The 23,078-nt window shown below is 44.8% G+C and overlaps 1 long non-coding RNA gene across 1 annotated transcript, besides 1 other annotated feature; it reads right to left on the bottom strand.

Moving 5' to 3' along the window:
• Positions 1–2,520: 2,520 nt before the first annotated feature.
• On the bottom strand, positions 2,521–5,976 carry LOC105376682 (uncharacterized). The gene is made up of 3 exons (XR_946906.2): positions 5,942–5,976; positions 4,906–5,113; positions 2,521–2,711 (listed from the first exon to the last, which is right to left on the bottom strand). It is a non-coding gene; the product is annotated as an uncharacterized LOC105376682 (long non-coding RNA).
• Positions 18,754–19,422: an enhancer, noted in NCBI's record as "OCT4-NANOG-H3K27ac hESC enhancer chr1:5178470-5179138 (GRCh37/hg19 assembly coordinates)". NCBI's record gives its function as "activates a minimal SCP1, AML or CMV promoter by ChIP-STARR-seq in naive and primed H9 embryonic stem cells {active_cell/tissue: H9 hESC(naive and primed)}" and the evidence as "EXISTENCE:reporter gene assay evidence [ECO:0000049][PMID:30033119]".

Raw genomic sequence — 23,078 nt, 5'->3', positions numbered from 1 at the left:
TTCTGTGAGCTCATCTCTTTTTATAAGAGCTTGCCATTGGCAAAACAATAACTGCAGAACTTTATTAAATGTTTATTGTAGGTCAGGCACTCTACCAATGTTTGTAGAAATAATCTCATTTAATCCCAATAAAGTGGGTGCCATTATTGCCCCCATTTTATAGGTAAGGAAATAGACATGGAATGTGAGGTGTTGCCTAAGGACCCCCAGAGTTAGTGCCTGAGAGACCTGGAAACACCACTCAGATTCCACCATGCCGTCACATGAGCAGGGATTTTACCAAGTAAGACACACCTGATGGTACATTCACATTCTTTCATTCATTTAGCCGGCGTGTGAGTGCCTGTTTGCTCCAGGCTCTCTGTTAAGTGCTGAGAATTAAAGGATTAGCACAGGAGGTGCCTGTCTTCATAGTTGAGAGGTGCCTGTCTTCATAGTTGAGAGGTGCCTGTCTTCATAGTTGTGCTATACATGGTTCTGCCATACTTCACAGTATGAGCCTGAGAAAGGATCATAGTTAGGCTCCACATGTATGCATCAGGAAGTGTATGCTTTGAACAAGAGAGTGGGAGAAAGACACAGAAAATGGGCAAGATCTGAGCTGAGTCTCAAAAATGTGCACGTGAATGAGCAACCTCAGTGAGGGAGTGAGGGAGTGGTGGAGTGAGGGAGTGGGGGAGTGGGGGAGTGGGGGAGTGGGGGAGTGGGGGAGTGGGGGAGTGAGGGAGTGGGGGAGTGGGGGAGCGGGGAAGTGGGGGAGTGGGGGAGCGGGGGAGTGGGGGAGTGGGGGAGTGGGGAAGTAGGGGAGTGAGTGCAAGAGTGTGCATGGGTGCATGGGGTTCTTGCTCAGGCGGGCTGATCTTCAATGACACAGGTCTAATGTCATTGACCCTGACCTTCTGCCTCTTCCTACTGCCCAGAATTCTCCTTTGGGACCTTGGGGAGGAGAGATCAATGCTTTTACATACCGAATTATGCCAGCCATACACATTTTATTAACTTATGGAAATGTCAGATTGCTTTAACTATTATACTGAACTTCTGTCCTCCAATAAATGGCTTAATTTCCTTCCAAGGATAAAACACTCTGGTGTTTTCGGCTGACCAATTCAGTTCAGGGCGCTCTAATGTTCTGTCTACTCAGAGGACACATACTTCACCACGATGACTCTGGGGTAATGACACCCAAGGCCCATTTCTAATGACCGTCATGGTCCTGGCAAAATACATTCCATATATTAAGGGCTGATGCCTCTTGCAGAGCTGGGCGCATCCTCTGGGGGAATGAGTGGCCTTTTCTCTGGAGCTTTCATCTGCGTGTGATTCCAGAAGAAATATCTCCAAGTATAATGTCAGGGTCCAGAACAGCCCTGAAAGGTGGGGGAAATGGTCCCGGTCCTCACAGATCTGTCTACAGACTCCACCAGGCTGCTAGCAATCTAAGCAAACCCACCTGGGAGCAGGTGATCCGTGTTAACCTCGGAGCTAAGAAAGCCACAAGGGAGCCTCCAAACCTCAGTTTCTACCCATAATTTGGAAATCATTTATCAAGGAGGCCCCCTTTCCAAATTGAATGGGAACTAGGCCCTGTAAAAATCTGGATCTGGCCCTGGGGAGATGAATGTCACATGGGCGTGGAGAACTGTGTGTGGTGCTGGAGCTTCGGGTTCGAGGAATGAGTCTAGTCATTCTGTTCCTCATGCAGTCTGTGCTGTCCCTGGGACTCCAAGCTTCTAGGAAAGAGGACAGCAGGCCTACTCGTGACATTGTAGGCAATATTCACACCTTGTCGCACAATCGATAAGGAGGAAGCTGGCGGCTCTCCATCAACCTGTGCAAGAGTCATCTGGAAACCTTTGAGAATCCCCACACATGTGCCATCACAGACCACGTAAATCAGAATGCCTTGGCATGGAGGTAGCAGTGTGCATTGTGCAGCCATGAGGGTCTCATCCTCCTAAGGTACTGGGATCTCCTGGAAAGTTTAAACAATGCAGATGCCTAGGCCATATCCCTGCCCACATCAATGCAGAAATCTAGACCTGTGTCCAGATGGCTCCAAACACAGACTTTGCAGGCCCTCAGGTGATTCTGGTAAGTATCCGAATTGTAAATTATTGCCAGAAGCAAGCTAATGTGAGCTGAGGGTGGTGAAGGGGAAGTGGGGCCCTCCCTGAGTGCAGAGGTTGGTCTTGAAGAGAAGGATGGGTTGAGCTGATGGAGGAAAAGGGAGGTTCTTTCTTGTCATAGCCAAGGGCTGCTCAAATTAATATAACAAAGAGGATAAAGGTTAATTGGATGAAACTCAGGATTTTGCAGAAAAACAAACCATTCTTCATCAAAATGCTGTGACAACTCTCCAGGCAATAGAGGAATGCCATAAACACCACCCCCAACAGAAGAAGATGCAGGAGGTGAATAATGAGGAGGGTGGGGAAACAGGGACGAATGAGGGTGAGTCTCATTCAAGCCACATTTTAACAACTGCATGTAGATGTAGATGTTGTTGTGTACCTTTCCATCTGAATCACATTCAGCCAATCCGGATCCTTTTGTCATGTCCTTGAATCGGAAGCCCCAAGAAGAAGGGGCTGTGGTGCTCTCGGCTGTACAGGCAGGAACTCACCCAGGGAGCAAATCATTAATTTTATGTTCAGTCTCTCAGTGAATTACTGGTAGATCCCACTTCAGCCAGGTTTTCTTGCCTTGATCTTTAGAATTTGGTGAAATCATAGGTCAGTAAATGGTGGACATCTTTTCCAAGTCTACTCAAGGCAGTAGATAAAGACGGAGAAAGGATTTCTTTCTCGAGGAGTTGAAGAGTTAATTCTTGTCGGTGTTACCTCATCTCTGCTGTTTTATTATTATTATTTTTTTCTTGTAAGACAAGTTGAACACAAAAAACAAGAAAGATACGGCCGGGCATGGTGGCTCATGCCTGTAATCCCAGCACTTTGGGAGTTCGAGGCAGGAGGATCACTTGAGCTCAGGAGATTGAGACCAGCCTGGCTAACATGGTGGAACCCCATGTTTACTAAAGATACAAAAATTAGTTAGGCATGGTGATGCATGCCTGCAATCCCAGCTACTTGGGAGGCTGAGGCAGGAGAATGGCTTGAACCCGGGAGGCGGAGCCTGTAGTGAACTGAGATCACGCCACTGCATTCCTGCCTGGGTGACAGAGTGAGACTCTGTCTCTAAAAATAAAAACAAACAAAACAACAACAACAACAACAAAAAGAACGGTTGTCAAAAACATTTCTCGATTGAGAATGTTTCAAGGACAGGAATAGTTCTTTGCCACTGAGGGTGGGGACAGAGATGGGGAGGGTGAAGTTTTTACAGATTAACAGGTGAATTAATCATGTACTGAAATAAAAAAGAAACATACGCAAGAAATCTTGATCAAGTCCACCAGTGGGATTTCTCTCCACCCTCACCCTGCCACCTCCTAGAGGAAGTCTAGAAACTTTAAGAGTAATATGCCTTTGAGGGTAATAAATAAATCAGGGGTACTGATAAAATAATGGATGAGAAATCATTTACCATCTTGTGATAAGTCCCATCTTGGTTTGATAAAGAGCTGGCAAAAGCTGCCATTGTTTTAGAAAATTAAGAGTGAACCTGCTCGTTAGCTGGGCTATTTAAGCCGTTCATATTAAGATTATGACTTCCCAGACTTAGGCAGCATGTGTTCTCTCCAGCTCATTTTTTTCTGATCCTTATCTTGTTTTGATAAGGAGATTCTGAATGTGACTTATGGTGCGGGGACAATGATAGGGAATGATTTTCTCAAGCACTGGTAAATGAATATGGCCTATGAGAAAAATGCTCTGGGCTCCGTTTACTCAAGGAGATCAATCTCTTTCTGTGCACATCTTTCTTCTCTGTTATGTCAAAACAGAACTCACTTTCTCATCTCATTTTCTTAAAGTTTGCCACCTACTCCTAACCTCCCTGGCTAGAAGGGAAGGAGAAATAGACTTTCAGTCTTCAGTGAAACTCGTTCCAACCCTCTTTATTATTTTGGAGAGGAAACACAGATTTGTCTGGGGCGTGAGGTATCCTGTAACCATGTGTCCCTCAGACCTAGGGGATGGATGTTGAGTGGAGCCTCTGGCCTCTGTGGAAGTGTCTCTGTGGGTCCCAGAGGAGCAAAAATTCTCATAGCTTTAGGAGTCTATCTGGAGCCCCTTGCAACCACACTACCACACCTACGGATTAAGCCTAAATGCTGAATATTCTGTAGACACCCAGGCCAACACAGACTCAGGGAAGAGTGCTGTCCTGCTAACAGCCCTCATCTTTCACTAATCAATCAAATACTGGTTAATGTCACCAACCCCCTTTGAACCTATGCAGTGAATCAGCCTGCTCTTCTTCTTTGGAAATGAGAGTGAGGTCTACTGGGGCCATTTTGCAAGAGTGGAAGTGAGCACCCGAGGTGTCCCTTATCAATAGAATCGTCTCCTCCTGCAATAGCAAAGACAGATGAACTACTGGGTTCATTATCACGAAATGCATTTTTACATCCAAGGAAGCTAAAGGACATGCTGGTGAAGTGACCTGTCTGAAGCCCTGATGCTAATCAAGAAGAATTAGAATGTGGTACCCAGTTCAGATGAGCTCCAATACACCTGCCTTCACACAAGCTGCCCCGCTGTGGTCCAGTGGGAAATGAGCATCCTCCTCAGTGACTGACAAATCTTCAAGCTCTGATGGTCCTAGAAAATCATTTTCATCCAACCCCAAGTGGTGTATCTTTTTCAACAAAACGGTTTGGACACAGATTTGCTAGGGCCAGCCATGTGGATTCCCTCTTGCTGAAGGATCAGTTCCTGGCCAGTCCCTTCAATGTCAGGATATGGAACTTAGTGTTTCGGAAGCTGTTCTGGAGATACCCACCTGGGCCCCAGGCACCCGCATCCTCTGTGAACATGCCTGTGGGCCCCACACGGATGAAACCACAGTCATGAGCTCTTCCCTGGGTCCTTTCAGCAGCCTCTGGGGAACAGATGGAGAAGACTTGAGGGCTCTTACTGTCTGGCTTCATTCACATGGAGTCTGGAACTGAGGGCTGCTTCCTACGTAGCCAATTTCCAGGACTTTCTGCCTGAAATATATATATATATACCATCCTCTCTATAAAAATTACTCACCTGGGGCTTTTGATGTTTTCAGAGAGATCGTCTGTGTTACCTGCTCATTCTTCTAGTTCCTTACAGCTTGTCCATGGATAAAGTTAGACTATTAGAAAACATTTTTCTTCTAGACTATAAACACATTTATAATTTGTGAGAAATGTAGGCATGACAAAATACTACCTCCTCAACTTCCATGGAAGGGAAATATAAGAAAACGCCTATGAAAAATATTTTTATTTCTTGCCTACAGCACTACTCAGACATTACCTGTTAGGTTAACCTATGTCTCCTATATCAGGATTTGTGTGTATTCCTTCTGGAAGGTGGCTCCAGGTTTCTCTCTGGCAGCATTTTTATGCATACCTTGATCAAACAACTTCTAAGAAATATAAAAATCTTCCCTTTAGCCTTCACTGCCAAAAACTTAGCCCTAAAATTAGTGCTCAATTTTAGAAGTAATTTCATTCTAGATGCCTGGTATAGACAAATCTGCTTTCTAACTTATAAAATCATAAATAAAAACATTTACTTCTTTTTATTTAAAAAAATGGATGCTTATGATAGAATATTTGCAGATACAGAAAAATAGAATGAAAGGAAAAAATAAAACTACTAGCATCACAGCCAAAGCCCACCATGGAGAAGAAAAATAACAAAGACATGTAATAGAACTCCACTAGTTCCCTTGCTTTAAGATTATTATTTTTAAATTATAAGCTATTCAATTAGTCAGCTTGGGCTGCCATAACAAAATACCATTGACTGGGCAGTTGAAACAACAGAAATTTCTTTCTCACAATTCTCAAGGTTGGAAGTCCAAGATCAGTGTGCCAGCATGGTCAGGTTCTGGTAAGAGCTCTCTTTCTGGCTTGTAGACACTGTCTTCTTGCTGTGTCCTCACAAGGTGGAGAGAGAGAGGCGGAGGGAGGGAAGGAGAGGGAAGGAGAGAGAGGGAGAGAGAGAGAGAGAGAGAAAATGAGAACAAGCTCTCTGAGTCTCTTCTGTTTTTATTTTGTTTTGAGATGGGGTCTCTTTCTGTCACCCAGGCTGGAATGCAGAGTTCAAGTGATTCTCCTGCCTCAGCCTCCCCGAGTAGCTGGGACTACAGGCACGCATAACCACAGCCAGCTAATTTTTGTATTTTTAGTAGAGACGGGCATTCGCCATGTTGGCAAGGCTAGTTTTGAACTCCTGACTACAGGTGATCTGCCGGCCTTGGCCTCCCAAAGTGCTGGGATTACAGGCATAAGCGACTCCCCCTGGCCTCTGAGTCTCTTCTTATAAGGACACTAATCCCATCATGAGGCCCCCACTCTTATGGCCTCATCTAAACCTAATTATCTCCCCACCTCCAAATGCGATCACATTAGGAGTTGAGGTTTCAACATATGAATTTTGTGGGGACACAGACATTCAGTCTGTAATAGCCATCCTAAACAAAGCCAGGGAGTTGAAGTTGCCTGTTTTTCAATACATTTATCGCACATATTTACCCTAAACAACCCTTATCAAGTAGGAAGCAGGTGGGAGGAGAATGCATGGGGACCCGTGGGCGTGATCTTAGGTGGCTGCCCGCACATAGGGCTGTATCCTCAGCATGAGTAACTCATGTGTCCAGAGGGTTCACATCCGTTCTTCCTCCATCGTTTCCGCAAACAGAGCCCAGTCGGCTCAGAGCACTGTTCCAAGTGACTGACGCCAAGTGCATGGGGCGGGGCGGAAGCCACGGGGTTGGAGAGAGGGCAGGAGAGGGGGAGCACGGAGGTGCGCAGGTGGGGTCTGTCCCTGATAGATGAAGGCTGCAGAGAAGGAGTCATTCTGCCAGGGGGCCTCCTGCTTCCTGCTCCTGTCCTCTGAATCCTCGGAATTAGTTGGGCTTTAGAGACCTAGAGCCTTATGCTTAGTGTGGCACTGTGTAACTGATTCAGTTATTTCATCTGAACCCAGGGAAATAGCTGGGAACCAGGGAGACCCATGCAAAACCCCAGTCACTTGCCACCACCCCCTCAACAATCACCTCCCCATCCTCCTCTCCCATATTCCCCAACAACCACCTCCTGACTCTCATAGCCAGCCTCCCACTCCTGTAATAACTATCTCCCTAAACTTATACCCTCATCTCCCCATTCCCCTCCAACGACCACCTCCCCCATCAGAGCCCCCACCCTCCCACCCCCTCAACAACCACCTCCCCACACTTCTCCCTCATTTCTCCCAACAACCACTTCCCCACTCCCTCAACTTCCCCACTCTTAGAGCCCCCACCCTCCCATCCCCTCAACAACCACCTCCCCTTCCTCGTGTCTCCACCCTCCCACCTCACCATCACACTAGTTCCTGGCACAGAACATACACCTAATGAGCATGTGAAGTAATGTATGAGAGCTCTCCCTTCTAGCATCAACTCTTCAAGCCCAAGCCCCCTACCCACATGCTCTTATCTCTTTGTTTCCTTCTCTTAATTGATTGAAGGAAGAGACTGTTTCCTGGGCTAAAGTTAATCCCTCTGCACATTCTCTGCCTTTTATTTCTCTCTCATTACACCTTCTCAAGGATTTTAATCCCTAATTAGCCTAACTCTTATGTGTTTTTAACCAAGCAACTTCTTATCAGCATTTTAAAATGAGGTGAGAATGCTTAATCTTATATAGAATTCCTTTGTTTCTACATTTTTCTCCAGCTTCTACCGTGTCTGCCATTTGTCATCACTTGTGTTCTAAGGGTTGCCTTCACTCTGGCTTCTCAGCCTCCCAAGCACAGCTGAACCCTCTGAGAGCTGGCTGTTTCTCTTGTCTCCCCTCTGACACTGCACTTGCCAGAACACTGATAGAGCAGAAACTGGTGCTCAATCCTCAGCCTTGCTGAACTTGGCACTTGAACTTGCTCCTATTCAAAACAGCATCTTCCCCTCACTGCTGGGCCAATGCTCCTTGGATACTTGGATAGAGAATTCCATTTGCTCTCATGGCTTTGATTTCCATTTATATTATTGAATATATTATTATTATTTATATTATAATACATTATATTATTTATATTATTCCATTTACATTATTTCCATTTCCATTATTATTCCATTTCATTGTTCCGTCTGGGTCCGTATTTTTTACCTGGAGTAACAGATGTATATATCTCTATAAGTCAGGGTGGGCTATGCTAGTCTACAGTAACAACAACACAGATCAATCAATCAATCAGTCAATCACGGTGAGTTAACCCAATAAAGATTTATAACATATATACAAAATGATGCAAGCCCTGGAGCCTTTTTGTTCTTTATTATTTTCATTTATTATTATTATTGTTATTATTTTTTTTTTTTGAGATGGAGTCTCTCTCTGTTACCCAGGCTGGAGTGTGTTGGCACAATCTTGGCTCACTGCAACCTCCACCTCCCAGGTTCAAGCAATTTTCCTGCCTCAGCCTCCCAAGCAGCTGGAATTCAGGTGTGCACCACCACATCCAGCTAATTTTTGTATTTTTAGCCGGGTTTTGCCATATTGGCCAGGTTGGTCTTGAGTCCCTGGCCTCAAGTGATCCACTTCCAAAGTGCTGGGATTACAGGCATGAGCCACTGAACGCTTGGCCCCTGCAGCCTTTTACATTGTGTAGCTACACTAACTGTAACAATGGTTTTCAAATTTGTCACAGCTGCAGAAGATAGGACTGGATGATCAAGCAAGATATTTCAAGGGTCAAGGCAGAAAGTGGCTATTATGAACTGAATTGTAGAAAGGGGCCTGCTCCATGCCAAGGCGCCCTGAAGTTAGTTGCCCTGGGACTGAGTAATTGCGGATATTCCCGATGACACAGGTGCACCAGTCAGCTTTCATCCATTACGTCCTGGTAACAAACAACCCCTAAATCTCAATGGCTTATGAACATAATAGGCTACTTCTCACTCACATTACATGACTGCTTGGTGGGTTGACTTCAGCTTTTCTCCATGTCCTTTCCTATCCAAGCTGAAGCAGCTTCCCTGATCTAGACTTCACTTCTCAGTAAGAAGAGGAAGGGCAGAGAATCCAGGAGTTTCTACCTGGCTGTGGTTTACATCATTTCCTCTCACGTTTCATTGGCTAAAGCAAGTCACATGGTCAAGCCCAGCAGCAATAGAGGGGAAATATTCTCATTTCATCTCATACAAAGGGGGTTAGAGGAGGACCCGAGCAGTAGACCTAGTACACAGGGGTAGAAGAAAGTATTTTGAATAAATACTCCAAGCTACAAAACCACTGCATATATATTTTCAAAAGCTTGAATTCTGAAAAATTATGAGGGGAAAAATAAATGCACAAGCAAACAAAAGCAAAACGTATCTGATGGGCACAATTGCAGCCAGGGTGAATAATTCAAAACCAGACCATCCAGCCTGGGCACAGTGGCTCACGCCTGTAATCCCAGCACTTTGGGAGGCTGAGGTGGGCAGATCACCTGAGGTCAGGAGTTCGAGACCAGCCTGGTCAACATGGTGAAACCTCATCTCTACTAAAAATACAAAAATTAGCCAGGCATCATGGTGGACACCTGTAATTCCAGTTACTTGGGGGGCTGATGCAGGAGAATCACTTTAACTCAGGAGATGGAGGTTGCAGTGAGCCAAGACTGTACCACTGTACTCCAGCCTGGGTGACAGATTGAGACTCTGTCTCAAAAATAATAATATAAAAAATAAAAAATTAAAAAACCACAGACCATCCAGAAAACCAAAAACCCAAAAACCTAAATATCACTTACATCACTGAAATGATATTTTAAATTACTCTTAAATAAATAAATATTCCAGCAAATATCTGTAACTTCAGCAAAGATGGTGAGAGTCACCTGATGGGTGGAGTTAAAAGGACGAGGCAGCTGAGTTCCAACAGCAAGGGCCAAGGAAAAGGACCTCAAGGGCACTGCTGTAGAAGCAGGTGCTGGCCTTGCACAGAAGACGCAAAGCCAGAGGTGCTGGCTGTGGCTGGTGGTGCCTCTTTCTTCAGCATAGATGGGGATGCATCTTGAAATAAGCACTTCCAAGCAGGCAGGGCCCATGGCCAACCAGACCACAGGAGGGAATAGGTGTGAATAGTCTTCATCGACCATCCTGTATTTTGCATGGGGGGCTGCACTCAGCAGGTAGGTATAATTGCACTCATTTGTTACCATTGCAATTTGGTTGTGCAAATTTGATAGGGTGAGGAAAGTTGCATCCGAACCAAAGTCCCTTCAGTAGGGTCCTCACATCATCCCCCCTATTTAGCAATTCTCTATACTTATATTGACAAATGCAGAAACAGGTAATCTTTCCAAACAGAATACCAGTCTCATTGGTGGTTCCCTAAGACAGGAAAAACATGGCACATTGCCTGGGAACCTGGAAAACTAGGCACCATTTGGCAGGTGGGACACGAACAACATGTGGAAGATGACATTGCTGCTAGGGGCTGATTTGTGTCGGTAGCTTGTCTGTTAAGCAGATCAGTATTGTTCTATAAAGGTAATGACTTGCCTTTACTGAGCACTTAACTTGTTACCTGGCATAGCTGCAACCACACGCAACAGCCTCAGGAAGTAGAGTTCAGTATTTTCCCCATATTCTATAGGAGGACACTGAGGCAAAGAAAATACCTTTGAATTTTAATTACCTCTCAAGAAATTAATAACAAAAGAATGTGTCACTGCCCAATGGGTTCACCCTGCCAGCTGCCTAGACAGAGCTGATTTATCAAGATGCAGGAATTGCAATAGAGAAAGAGTAATTCACCCCGAGCCCGCTGTGCAGCAGACCAAGTGCAGCAGACCAAGTTTTATTATTACTCAAATTGGTCTCCCTGAGCATTTGGGGATCAGAGTTTTAAGGACAACTTAGTGGTCAGGGGAAAGCTAGTGAGCCAGGAGTGCTGACTGGTCAGAGATGAAATGGTTGGGGAGAAGCTAGTGAGCCAGGAGTGCTGATTGGTGAGAGATGAAATCCTGTGTCCTGATAGGGAGTCGAAGTTGCCTTCTTGTGCCGAGTCAGTTCCTGGGTGGGGCCACAAGATCAGATGAGCCAGTTTATCAATTTGGGTGGTGCCAGCTGATCCATCAAGTGCAGAGTCTGCAAAACATCTCAACCACGGACCTTAGGAGCAGTTTAGGGAGGGGTCAGAATCTTGTACCCTCCAGCTGCATGACTCCTAAACCATAGTTTCTAATCTTGTGGCTAATTTCTTAGTCCTACAAAGGCAGTTTAGTCCCCAGGCAAGAAGGAGGTTTGTTTTGGGAGAGGGCTATCATCTTTGTTTTAAACTATAAACTAAGTTCCTCCCAAAGTTAGTTCAGCCTACACCCAAGAATGAACAAGGACAGCTTGGAGGTTAGAAACAAGATGGAGTCAGTTAGGTCTGATCTCTTTCAGTGTCTCCATCATAAGTTTACAAAGGTGGTTTCAAATGTACATATTTAAATATAGGATATCTCTGTATTTCATTTAGGATGTATGGTAGGTGGAACAGTGAGAGTTCCCCTGGAAGACGTGCACATCCTAATCCCCAAATCTGTGAATCTGTGGCCTTACATGGTAAAGGGAACTTTATAGATGGGATTATGATTATGGACCTTGAGCCAGGGAGAGATGATCCTGGATTATTTGAGCAGGACTCATCTAATCACAGGAGTCTGTAAAAGAAGAGGTTTTTCTCTGAGTTGGAAGAAGAGGCAATCAGAAGAGATTCAGCAAAACAGGAGGCCCTAAAGAGTCCAAATGTGAGCAGGCTCTGAGAGGTGGGCCTGCTGTGCTAGGACTGTAGAGAGGCCCCTGAGAGGGGATGGTGGCCACAGCCTGCAGCCCATGAGGAAGTGGAACCCTCAGTCCCACAACAGCACAGAGCTGAATTCCGTCAACCATCTGAATGATCCTTTCCAAACATTTAGATGGAAACTCGGTCTAGCTGACACCTTTATTTTAGCCTCTGAGAACCAGAGTAGAGAAACCAGCTGAGCTGACCTGGACTTCTCCAGGGCTGGGAGATAATACATATACATTGTTTTAAGCCACTAAGTTTTTGATTATTTGTTACAACTGCAAAAGGAAAATCATCCCATATCATTGAGAAAGCTTGGAGGAGTAACGTTGGACCTCTGGGTACTTCCCAACTCCTGGTTTCCCTCAGTCCCTCTTTCACTTCTGCCCAGAAAAGGAAAGATTTCTGGGTAGGCAAGTTTAGGAGAAGTGAGGCATACTCATTTCAGCCTGTTCCTTTCTGCTTACTCTGCGATCTTTCTGACCACAGAGAACATCCGTTCTCATACCACGTTATAACAGGAGCCTGCCTCCAGGGGTCCTACGGTTGTCCACTATGCCAGTGGATTAATTCAGAACTCCGGAAAACAGGAGATATTTACTAGCTCTCTAAAATCCCAACCCATCAATCAGATCCTATCATTTCTATTTACTTTGTGCACCCTTCAAACCCCGCATGATAGCTTTTAGGGCCCTTCAGGATCTGGTGCTGCATGAGTTTCTAGCCTAGCACTACCCAATAAAAATGGAATGCACACTGCAAATATAGTTTTAAATTTCCCAGTAGACACATTGAAAAAATTAAAAACAAGCAGATGACATTAATTTTAATAATATAGTATATTTAACCTAATATATCTGAAATATCATTTCAACATATTATCAATACAAAAATTGTTAGAGATATTTTTCTTGCAGTCTTTGAAATCCAGGGTGTATAGCTGGATTTATAGTAGATTTAGAGTATAAATCTATAAATTATGGATCTATCTATAATTATAAATTATAGATTATCTACAAATGTCTAGTGTATACTATAAATCCAGTGATTTATAGCTGGATTTGAAGTCCTGTGTATATAGCTGAATAGTGACACCTCGTCTCAACCTGGACCCGTTTCGTCTCAAATGCCCAATAGCCACAGGGGACTAGAGGCTACCATATTGAAGAAACCAGATCCAGCTTTATTTTTGCCATTCCTGCCTTCATATTCTTTCATTTTCCTCCTTGTCTGTACTCTCCCCTGACTCTTGTTTCCCTGGTTTGAAACACTCTGCACCTTCCCCCTGTTTCCGCACACTTCCTACCAATGATTTTTACTCTAGCTTCCTCTAGACTGTCTTCCTTGACTCCTCAAATTAGTTACTTGTCTCTGGGTTTCTAGAGCATCCTGTGATTCCATTCTTCTGGGATTTGCCACACGTTGCTGTAATGAGAGATTCCACTCCCATTTGGCATACAGAAGACAGTGAAATAAGTTCTTTTTTTTTTTTTTTTTTTTTTTTGAGACAGGTCTTGCTGTGTGCCCTGGCTAGAGTCTAGAGTGCAGTGGTGCAATCTTGGCTCACTGCAACCTCCATCTCCTGGTTCAAGTGATTCTCGTGCCTCAGCCTCCCGAGTAGCTGGGACTACAGGCATGCATCACCACACCCAGCCAATTTTTGTATTATTTTGGTTGAGATGGGGTTTTACCATGTTGGCCAGGCTGGTCTTGAACTCCTGGCATCAAATGACCCACCCACCTTGGCCTCCCAAAGTGCTGGGATTGCAGGCCTGAGCCACCGTGCCTGGCCGAAATAAGTTTGTTTCTGATGAAACCACAAGAAATCACCAAAACGAAGCTTTTCTTTTAAGCCACTGAAGAAAGAAGTACAGAAGGAAATTTTTGAGAACTAAACTCCAGAGGGCTAAATCTTCCCTAGGTGAACAGAAGAGCAAATGGTCAAACCAAGGTCAGGTAAAACAGAGCTAAAAGCCTGCTAAGAACGGCGGACTTGCCCATGGGCGGGAAAGCAGCTGAATGCAGTCACACCTGTGGCTGGTTTGTCGGATTTGAACTCGGTGACACCCCATATATTAGGATAATCTTTTCTCCTTAGTTATACTCTTCTGTGAAATTTTTGCCGAGAAAGTAACAGCTGTGCCCGAGCAGAAAAGAAACCTCACGCTTTTGCATTGTGGTGTCACCGTTTTGAAGACTAGCAGCATTGTTGTGTGATGATCTTGCTGTTCCCAGATCCAGCCACCTCATGCTCTGTTCATCCCCCAGACTAGCAACTTCCAGGTCCAGCAGACCCAAGATCTTACCGTTTTGAGATCTAATCGTGTCACAGTATTTGGTTATAGGGACCTTATGGAAAGAGGGAGACATCTGAATTCACTTAGAATAACCAAAACTTTGATAAATGCCCCAATTCAACTTCTGTGAATACCACTCTCCACCCACTTGTATGGCTGAAATTAACACAATGGCCAATTCCAAAAACTGTCATAGATTGCTAGCGGGACTAAAATGATACTCTTCAGCAAACCTCCATGACATGTTTATCTATGTAAAGAACCTTCACATGTACCCCCAGTTCTAAAATAAAAATAAAAAATAAAAAAATTAAAATTAAAATGGTACTCTCATTTTGGAAAACCATTTGGCACTTTCTCATGTGGTTAGGTCTACCCTAAGACCCAACAATTTTATGCCTGGGTATTGATAAAGAGAAATAAAAACCTATGTCCACAAATGGACTCTACGAGTGTCCATAGCAGCTTTATTCTTTATAGCCAAGAACTGGAAATAATTTCAATGTCCATTAGCAGGAGAATGGATTAAAAAAAATGTAATATATTCACACAATGGAATACGACTGAGCAATAAAAATGAAGAAACTGCTGATACATGTAACTAGGGGAATCTCAAACACATGGTTTTGCACAAAAGAAACCCAATACGAAACACACATACTTTTATTCACATGAAGTTCTAGAGTGGGAAAGCTAAGCTATGGTGAGAATGATGAGATCAAGTGGTTGTCTGAGGAGGGGAAGGGATTGACTGAAAGGGGCATGATTTTGCATTTTAGAAACATGTAAATATTTTCTTTCTGAAGTGAAGTCACGAGTACAGGGGTGTATGCATCCGTCAAAACTCTTCAAACTGTGCACTTAAATAGGTGCATTTATTGGTACATTACTCTTACTTCAATAAAGTGATTTTTTAAACACCATTTATAACCACTGGCTCAGGGTTTCTCTATACTATTGATGTTTTGTTTCAGATAATTCCTTGTCAGTGTGGGGGCTGCCCTGTAGGATTGTAGGCCACATTGTAGGATGGTTAGTAGCATCTCTGATCTCTACCCATTAAATGCCACTAAGCACCCTGCCAAGTCCTGTCAACGGACAATAAGGCATGTCTCCATACACTCCGAGATGTCCTAGCAGGGGAGGAGAAAAACACCTTTCCTTCACCCTCTTAGGTTCAGTGAAACTTAAACTGACAAAAGGCAGATTAAGAGAAGGGGAAAGATTTTATTTACACATGCAAAGCACACATAGAGAACTCAGTGATGAGTAACTCAAGGGGTGGTTAGAATCTGGGGTTTATTTACCATCTTAATACATGAAGTGGGAGGGAAAAGGCACTTACAGGGGAGAAAAATGGCTTTTTGGAAAGATAAATGGGTTTTCAGGAGAACAAAGACTAGATAAAGTTTGTGATAATGTTTGTCTATTCAGGTGTGAGCGGTCTTTCTGCCTCCTTTGGGGACATAAAACGACCCTGGAGAGAGATTTGGGGTAGTTTTTATTCCCGTTCTACCTTCTGGAAGTAGATTTGACTTAAAGAGAAATTTATGGCAGCCTCACTTCCCAAAGATAGTTGCTTTGGGTCAGAAAACTAAAGTTCTGAGGGCTTTTTTTTTCCTGCATCTGTTGAATCTCAAGTGTCTTCAGCTTAAAATAACCTTTATGACAAAGTGGCATATTTTAGGGTGTGTTTTCTGATCCCCATCATTGTCTCCAGGGCAAAATTGCCCCCATAGCTGGAAACTGCTGTACTAATTCAACTTTCTTTGCTTAGCTGATTCTTTCCTTCCTTCATTCATTCAACAAAGACTGGCTGAGTTCCACCCTGTGTTGGGCATTGTTGTGAGCATCTGGGACACAACAGGGAGCAACAGACAAATGTCCCTGCTCCTTGGAGCTTCCATTCCAATTGGCCAAGGGAGACACATTTTAAAAAAGTGTCTAGGTAGAAGGGACAAAATATAAAGTGGGGCTGGGTGAAGGGGAAAGGAGGGCCAGGGTAGGACGTGGATTGTCATTTTTAAGGCCTCATTGAGAAGAACAACTAAGCAGAGGTGTAAAGGAGGTGAGGGCATCAGCCATGCTGTTACCTATTGGAAGAGTGGCCAAGAAGAGGGGCCAAGGGGACAGTCTACACAGACACTCTAGGGCTGGCCTATGTCTCCTACGCTGAAGGAAGCTTGATGTGGAGCCCAGAGCACCTGAAGCCAACCAAGGAAGGAAGAAAGAAATAAGAAACGAGGTCAGAGGACAAGGTAGGACACGATCACCAGGTCCCTGCAGGTCTTGATGGGGATGGTGATTGCTCCTTGTCTACTTACCAGGTAAGGGCAAGATGGTAGCATTGGGGTGGTGAGAAGTGGTCAAATTCTGGATATATTTTGAATATAGAGCCAATAGGTTTTGCTGATAGACTGAGTTTGTTCCCTAACTCTGCCTGAGGGCAGAGATGGTGTCTTTCTTGCTCATCTTGCTGTGTGCCTACCACAATTTCTGGTCCACAGAATAACATTTAATAAAAAATGGACAAAAGGGGGGATAGATAGGTGGATATATGGGTGGATGATACATGAATGGATAGATGGGAAGAATGTGTGGGTAGGAGGATGGATGGATGGATGGATGAATTAATGATTGGATGGGTGAGTGGGTGTGTAAGTAGGTGAGTGGATGGAGGAATGAATGGATAGTTTGATGGATGAATACATGAATGGGTGGATGGGATGAATGTCTGGGTGGTTGGATGGATGGATGGATGAATGAATGGATAGCTGGATACTTTGATGGATGAATACATGGATGGGTGGATAGGATGAATGCGTGGGTGGGTGGATGGATGAATGAATGGATGGGTGGGTGGTTGTGGAGATGGGTGAGTGGATGGATGGATGAATGAAAGGATGAGTGGGTGGGTGTGAAAGTGGATAGGTGGATAGACAGATGGATGGGTGAATAAGTGGATAGGTAGGTGGGTGTGGAGGTGGGTAGGAGTGGGTGGATGGATGGGTGAATGGACATTAAGTGCTCTGATTTGTTATAATCATCAGATATTTTACATATGAAGGTCCTTGACCACTGACAGGCACTTTTTAGTTATTTAACAAATGAATGAAAACTTTTAACCTTTTTTTTTTTTTTTTTTTTGTGAGATGGAATCTAGCTCTATTGCCCAGGCTGGAGTGCAGTGGCACAATCTCGGCTCAACCTCCACCTTCCGTGTTCAAGTGATTCCCCTGCCTGGGACTACAGGTGCCTACCACCACGCCCAACTAATTTTTGTATTTTTAGTAGAGAAGGGGTTTCACTGTGTTGGCCAGGCTGGTCTTGAATTCCTGACCTCATGATCCTCCTGCCTTGGCCTCCCAAAGTGCTGGGATTACAAGCGTGAGACACCGTACCCTGCTCATTTTGTTTTTTAAATAAAGATGCTACTGAATTTCACTCATGAAAGAAGGATGGAGAGGGACATCAGTCATTTTGTTTACAAAGGGGAGCCACTCCCCTCTGTGCCTGCAAAGAGCTTTCATTCCCAGCAGAACACACAGGGGGCAGAGAAGGGCTGAGAGCCTTCCCCTTGCCAATCAGCCATGCAGCCAATGCACAGTTGCTAACTTCAGCCTCAGTGCGAGTCCCTCGTGCCAGGTCATCAGCCAGGCAGTGGAAATATCACCGTCAGGCCCAGGCTTCCTGCAAGTCCTGCTCCAGCAGTTATGAATAAGAGCATCAGGGCTCATTTTGGCTCATAAAGGGAGCACAGTGAAAGAAAAAACCACTACTGCCTATGAAATCTAACAGATACAAGGTACAATTCTGGAGTAACATGTTGCTACAGTTAAGCCTGCTTTGAGTAGAAATGCTCACACCATGGGCTCAAAAGAATCAGGGCAGAGTTTGCCCTGCAACTCTCCCTGCAGCCACAAGGATGCGGATCACAGCCGTGAGCCACAGCCATGGCTCCACGTCTCTGCCGGAGCGGCCTGGACAGACACACAACTTGGGAACACAATGACTTGTCTCAAACGTGGTAACTGTTATCTTGTACCCAAGGTCCTGACTTAAAGTTGTTTCTATTGATTAATGTTCTCTCTTCACTGCATGTCAAGATGACACCAGTGATTCATTCATTCGTAGATAAAACATTTTTGTGTTTCAGTGGAAAACTGCACTGCCTATCCCATGTCCTCTGAGCTATCAGATTGCAGCCTTGCCCATTATCTCCCAGCTATTCTGAAACTCTTTGTGAATTGTAGGTAAGTGATAGATATGTAAATACTGTCCTAGCTGGTAGTGGTTTAAATTGACTTCCTCCTACTTTGAAAGAAACAATTTTGTCTCCATTTGCAATTCATCTCAACTCTCCTTTACTAGACATAGATTTGTGCTGTTTTGACCTTTGCTGTGAAATGGTTCTGACATCTGCCTGCTTCCCTCATCTTATAAGCATAAAATACATCCTCTAGCAAGTGTTTATATTTATATCTGTCTGCTAGTCATGGTTTTACCTTTTTCTAAGAATTTCCTTTTAACGCATTCAACAAATATTTGTTAAACAGCAGTTATGCACTGATATGGTTTCGCTGTGTCCCCACCCAAATCTTATCCCGCCCATAATTCCCATGTGTTGTGGGAGGGACCTGATGGGAGATAATTGAATCACAGGGGCAGTTTCCCCCATACTGTTCTCGTGGTGGTCAATCCGTTTCACCAGATCTGATGGTTTTATAAGTGAAACCTTTCATGCGTGTCCGTGTGAAGAGACCACCAAACAGGCTTTGTGTGAGCAACATGGCTGTTTATTTCACCTGGGTGCCGGCGGGCTGAGTCCGAAAAGAGAGTCAGTGAAGGGAGATAAGGGTGGGGCCGTTTTATAGGATTTGGGTAGGTAAAGGAAAATTACAGTCAAGGGGGTTTGTTCTCTGGCGGGCAGGAGTGGGGGTCGCAAGGTGCTCAGTGGGGGTGTTTTTGAGCCAGGATGAGCCAGGAAAAGGACTTTCACAAGGTAATATCATCAGTTAAGGCAAGGACCGGCCATTTACACTTCTTTTGTGGTGGAATGTCATCAGTTAAGGCGGGGCAGGGCGTATTCACTTCTTTTGTGATTCTTCAGTTACTTCAGGCTGTCTGGGCGTATACCTGCAAGTCACAGGGGATGTGATGGCTTATCTTGGGCTCAGAGGCCTGACATTCCTGCCTTCTTATATTAATAAGAAAAATAAAACAAAATAGTGTCGAAGCGTTGGGGCAGCGAAAATTTTTGGGGGGTGGTATGGAGAGAGAATGGGCGATGTTTCTCAGGGCTGCTTCAAGCGGGATTGGGGCGGTGTGGGAACCTAGAGTGGGAGAGATTAAGCTGAAGGGAGGTCTTGTGGTAAGGGGTGATATTGTGGGGATGTTAGAAGAAACATTTGTCGTATAGAATGATTGGTGATGGCCTGGATACGGTTTTGTATGAATTGAAAAACTAAATGGAATAACAGAAGGAGAAAAACAGGTATAAAAGTTCTAAGAATTGGGACGACTCAGGATATCTGATTAGAGAGTTCTTAAGGAGATTCGGCATAGTCCTGCCAGCAAAGATTATTTATTTACTTCAAGAGTTAAGAGTGGCAGTTTGGGGATAGCACCAGGTGATATCAGCTGTGATGGCTTGGAAAAACAGTGTAAACCGGCAGTGTAAACAAGAGCAGGGCATGTATGAGTAGTTGAGAACGGTGAATAGGAGTATGACTAGACAGAAGATAGTAGGGATGACAAGTTTTTTTGTTTTTTTTTTGGGGGGGGCACAGTCTAAGTTGGTCTGGTGTCTGGAATGAGACTGGGGCCTAATAAAAAGGAGCGTCTATACAGGAGCTTAAATGGACTGTACCGTGTAGCATTCCGAGGACAGGCCTGAATTCTGAGAAGGGAAAGTGGTAAAAATATTGTCCAGTCCTTTTTAAGTTGGTGGCTGAGCTTGGTGAGGTGTGTTTTTAAAAGATCTTTAGTCCATTCTACCTTTCTTGAAGACGGAGGACCATAAGGGATATAAAGGTTTCACTGAATACTAAGAGCCTGAAAAACTGCTTGGCTGTTTTGACTAATAAAGGCCCTTCTGTTATCAGACTGTATTGAGGTGGGAAGGCTAAACTGAGGAATTATGTCTGACAGAAGGGAAGAAATGACTGCGGTGGCCTTCTCAGACCCTGTAGGAAAGGACTGTACTTATTCAGTGAAAGTGTCTATTTAGACTAAGAGGTATTTTAGTTTCCTGACTCAGGCATGTTGAATAAAGCTAATTTGCTAGTCCTGGGTGGGGGCAAATCCTTGAGCTTGACGTGTAGGGAAGGGAGGGGGCCTGAATAATCCCTGAGGAGTAGTAGAATAGCAGATGGAACACTGAGAAGTTATTTCCTTGAGGATAGATTTACACGATGGAAAGGAAATGAGAGGTTCTGAGAGGCGGGCTAGTGGCTTGTACTATAGCATAGCCTGCCTTTGCTGGTGTGTGGTGATTAGGCCTGGTGGAACTGCCATCAATAAATCAAGCGTGATCAGGGTGAGGAACAGGAAAGAAGGAAATTTGGGGAAATGGGGTGAATGTCAGGTGGATCAGAGAGATACAGTCATGGGGGTCAGGTGTGGTATCAGGAATAATGTGGGAGGCCGGATTGAAGTCCGGGCCAGGAACAATGGTAATTGTGGGAGACTCAACAAAGAGTGAGTGTAGCTGAAGGAGCCGGAAAGCAGAAAGTATATGCATCAGGTATGAGGAAGAAAATAGATTTCAGAAGTTAAGAGAACTGTAGAGAGTGAGTTGAGCACAGTTTGTGATTTTGAGGGCCTCTAAAAGTATTAAAGCAGTGGCAGCCGCTGCACGCAGACATGAGGGCTAGGCTAAAACAGTAAGGTCAAGTCGTTTGCACAGAAAGGCTACAGGGTGCGGTCCTGGCTCTTGTGTAAGAATTCTGACTGCACTAACTATGCCTAGGAAGGAAAGGAGTTGTTGTTTTGTAAGGGATTGAGGTTTGGGAGATTTATCGGACACAATCAGCAGGGAAAGCACACGTATGTTTTTATGAGAACTATGCCGAGATAGGTAACAGATGAGGATGAAATTTGGGCTTGACTGAAGTAATGGGGGCTGTCTGTGAAGGCTTGCGGCAGTATAGCCCAGGTAATTTGCTGAGCCTAATGGGTGTCAGGGTCAGTCTAAGTGAAAGCAAAGAGAGGCTGGGACGAGGGGTGCAGGGGAATAGTGAAAAAAGCATCTTTAAGATCAAGCATGGAATAGTGAGTTGTGGAGGAAGGGATTGAGGACAAGAGTGTACGGGTTGGGCACCACAGGGTGGATAGGCAAAACAATTTGGTTGATAAGGCACAGATCCTGAACTAACTTGTAAGGCTTGTCTGGTTTTAGGACAGGTAAAATGGGGGAATTGTAAGGAGAGTTTATAGCATTTAAAAGGCCATGCTGTAGCAGGTGAGTGATAACAGGCTTTAATCTTTTTAAAGCGTGCTGCGGGATGGGATATTGGCATTGAGTGGGGTAAGGGTGATTAGGTGTTAATGAGATGGTAAGGGGTGCATGATCAGTCGCCAAGGAGGGAGTAGAGGTATCTTATACTTGTGGGTTAAGGTGGGGGGATACAAGAGGAGGACGCAAAGGAGGCTTTGGATTGGGAAGAAGGGCGGCAATGAGATATAGCTGTAGTCCAGGAATAGTCAGGGAAGCAGATAATTTAGTTAAAGTGTCTCAGCCTAATAAGGGAACTGGGCAGGTGGGGATAACTAAAAAGGAGTGCTTAAAAGAGTAGTGTCTAAGTTGGCACCAGAGTTGGGGAGTTTTAAGAGGTTTAGAAGCCTGGCCGTCAATACCCACAACAGTTATGGAGGCAAGGGAAACAGGCCCTTGAAAAGAAGGTAATGTGGAGTGGGTAGCCTCCGTATTGATTAAGAAGGGGACGGGCTTACCTTCCACTGTGAGAGTTACCCGAAGCTCGGCGTCCGTGATGGTCTAGGGGGCTTCCGAGGCGATTGGGCAGTGTCAGTCTTCAGCTGCTAAGCCGAGAAGATCTGGGAAGGAGTCAGTCAGAGAGCCTTGGGCCAGAGTTCCAGGGGCTCTGGGAGTGGCTGCCAGGTGAGTTGAACAGTCCGATTTTCAGTGGGGTCCCACACAGATGGGACGCGGCTTAGGGGGAATCCCGGGCAGCGGGCATTCCTTGGCCCAGTGGCCAGATTTCCGGCACGTGTAGCAAGCTCCTGGGGGAGGAGGTTCTGGAGGAATGCCTGGCCGCTGCGGTTCAGGCGTTTGGAAGTTCTTGTGTGCTGGAGATGGGGCTGGGGTTTGTCTCACAGTGGAGGCAAGGAGTTGCAAGTTTTTTCTATTATTGTACACCTTGAATGAAGGCGAGGTTAATTAAATCCTGTTGTGGGGTTTGAGGGCTGGAATTTAATTTTTGGAGTTTTATTTAATGTCGGGAGCAGATTGGTTAATAAAATGTATTTTGAGAATAAGGCGGCCTTTTGACCTTTTAGGGTCTAGGGCTGTAAAGCGTGTCAGGGTTGCTGCCAAAGGAGCCATGAACTGGGCTGGGTTTTTATATTTGATGAAAAAGAGCCTAAAGGCTTCTGATTTGGGATAAAGAAAAGGGAGCATTAACCTTGACTATGCCTTTGGCTCCAGCCACCTTTTTAAGGGTAAATTGCTGGGCAGGTGGGGGAGGGCTAGTCACGGAATGAAACTGTAAGCCGGACCAGGGGTGAGGAGGGGAGGCGACAAAAAGATTACAGGGTGGAGGAGCAGAGGCTGAGGAAGAATTGGGACCTAGCTCTGCCTGGCGAGGAGCAGCCTGGGGAGGAAGGGAGAGGTCAGAGGGGTCTGTAGAAAAGGA

Source organism: Homo sapiens, chromosome 1 (genome assembly GCF_000001405.40).
Source record: "Homo sapiens chromosome 1, GRCh38.p14 Primary Assembly".
NCBI lineage: Eukaryota > Metazoa > Chordata > Mammalia > Primates > Hominidae > Homo > Homo sapiens.
This window is presented reverse-complemented; position numbering and strand designations above follow the sequence as displayed.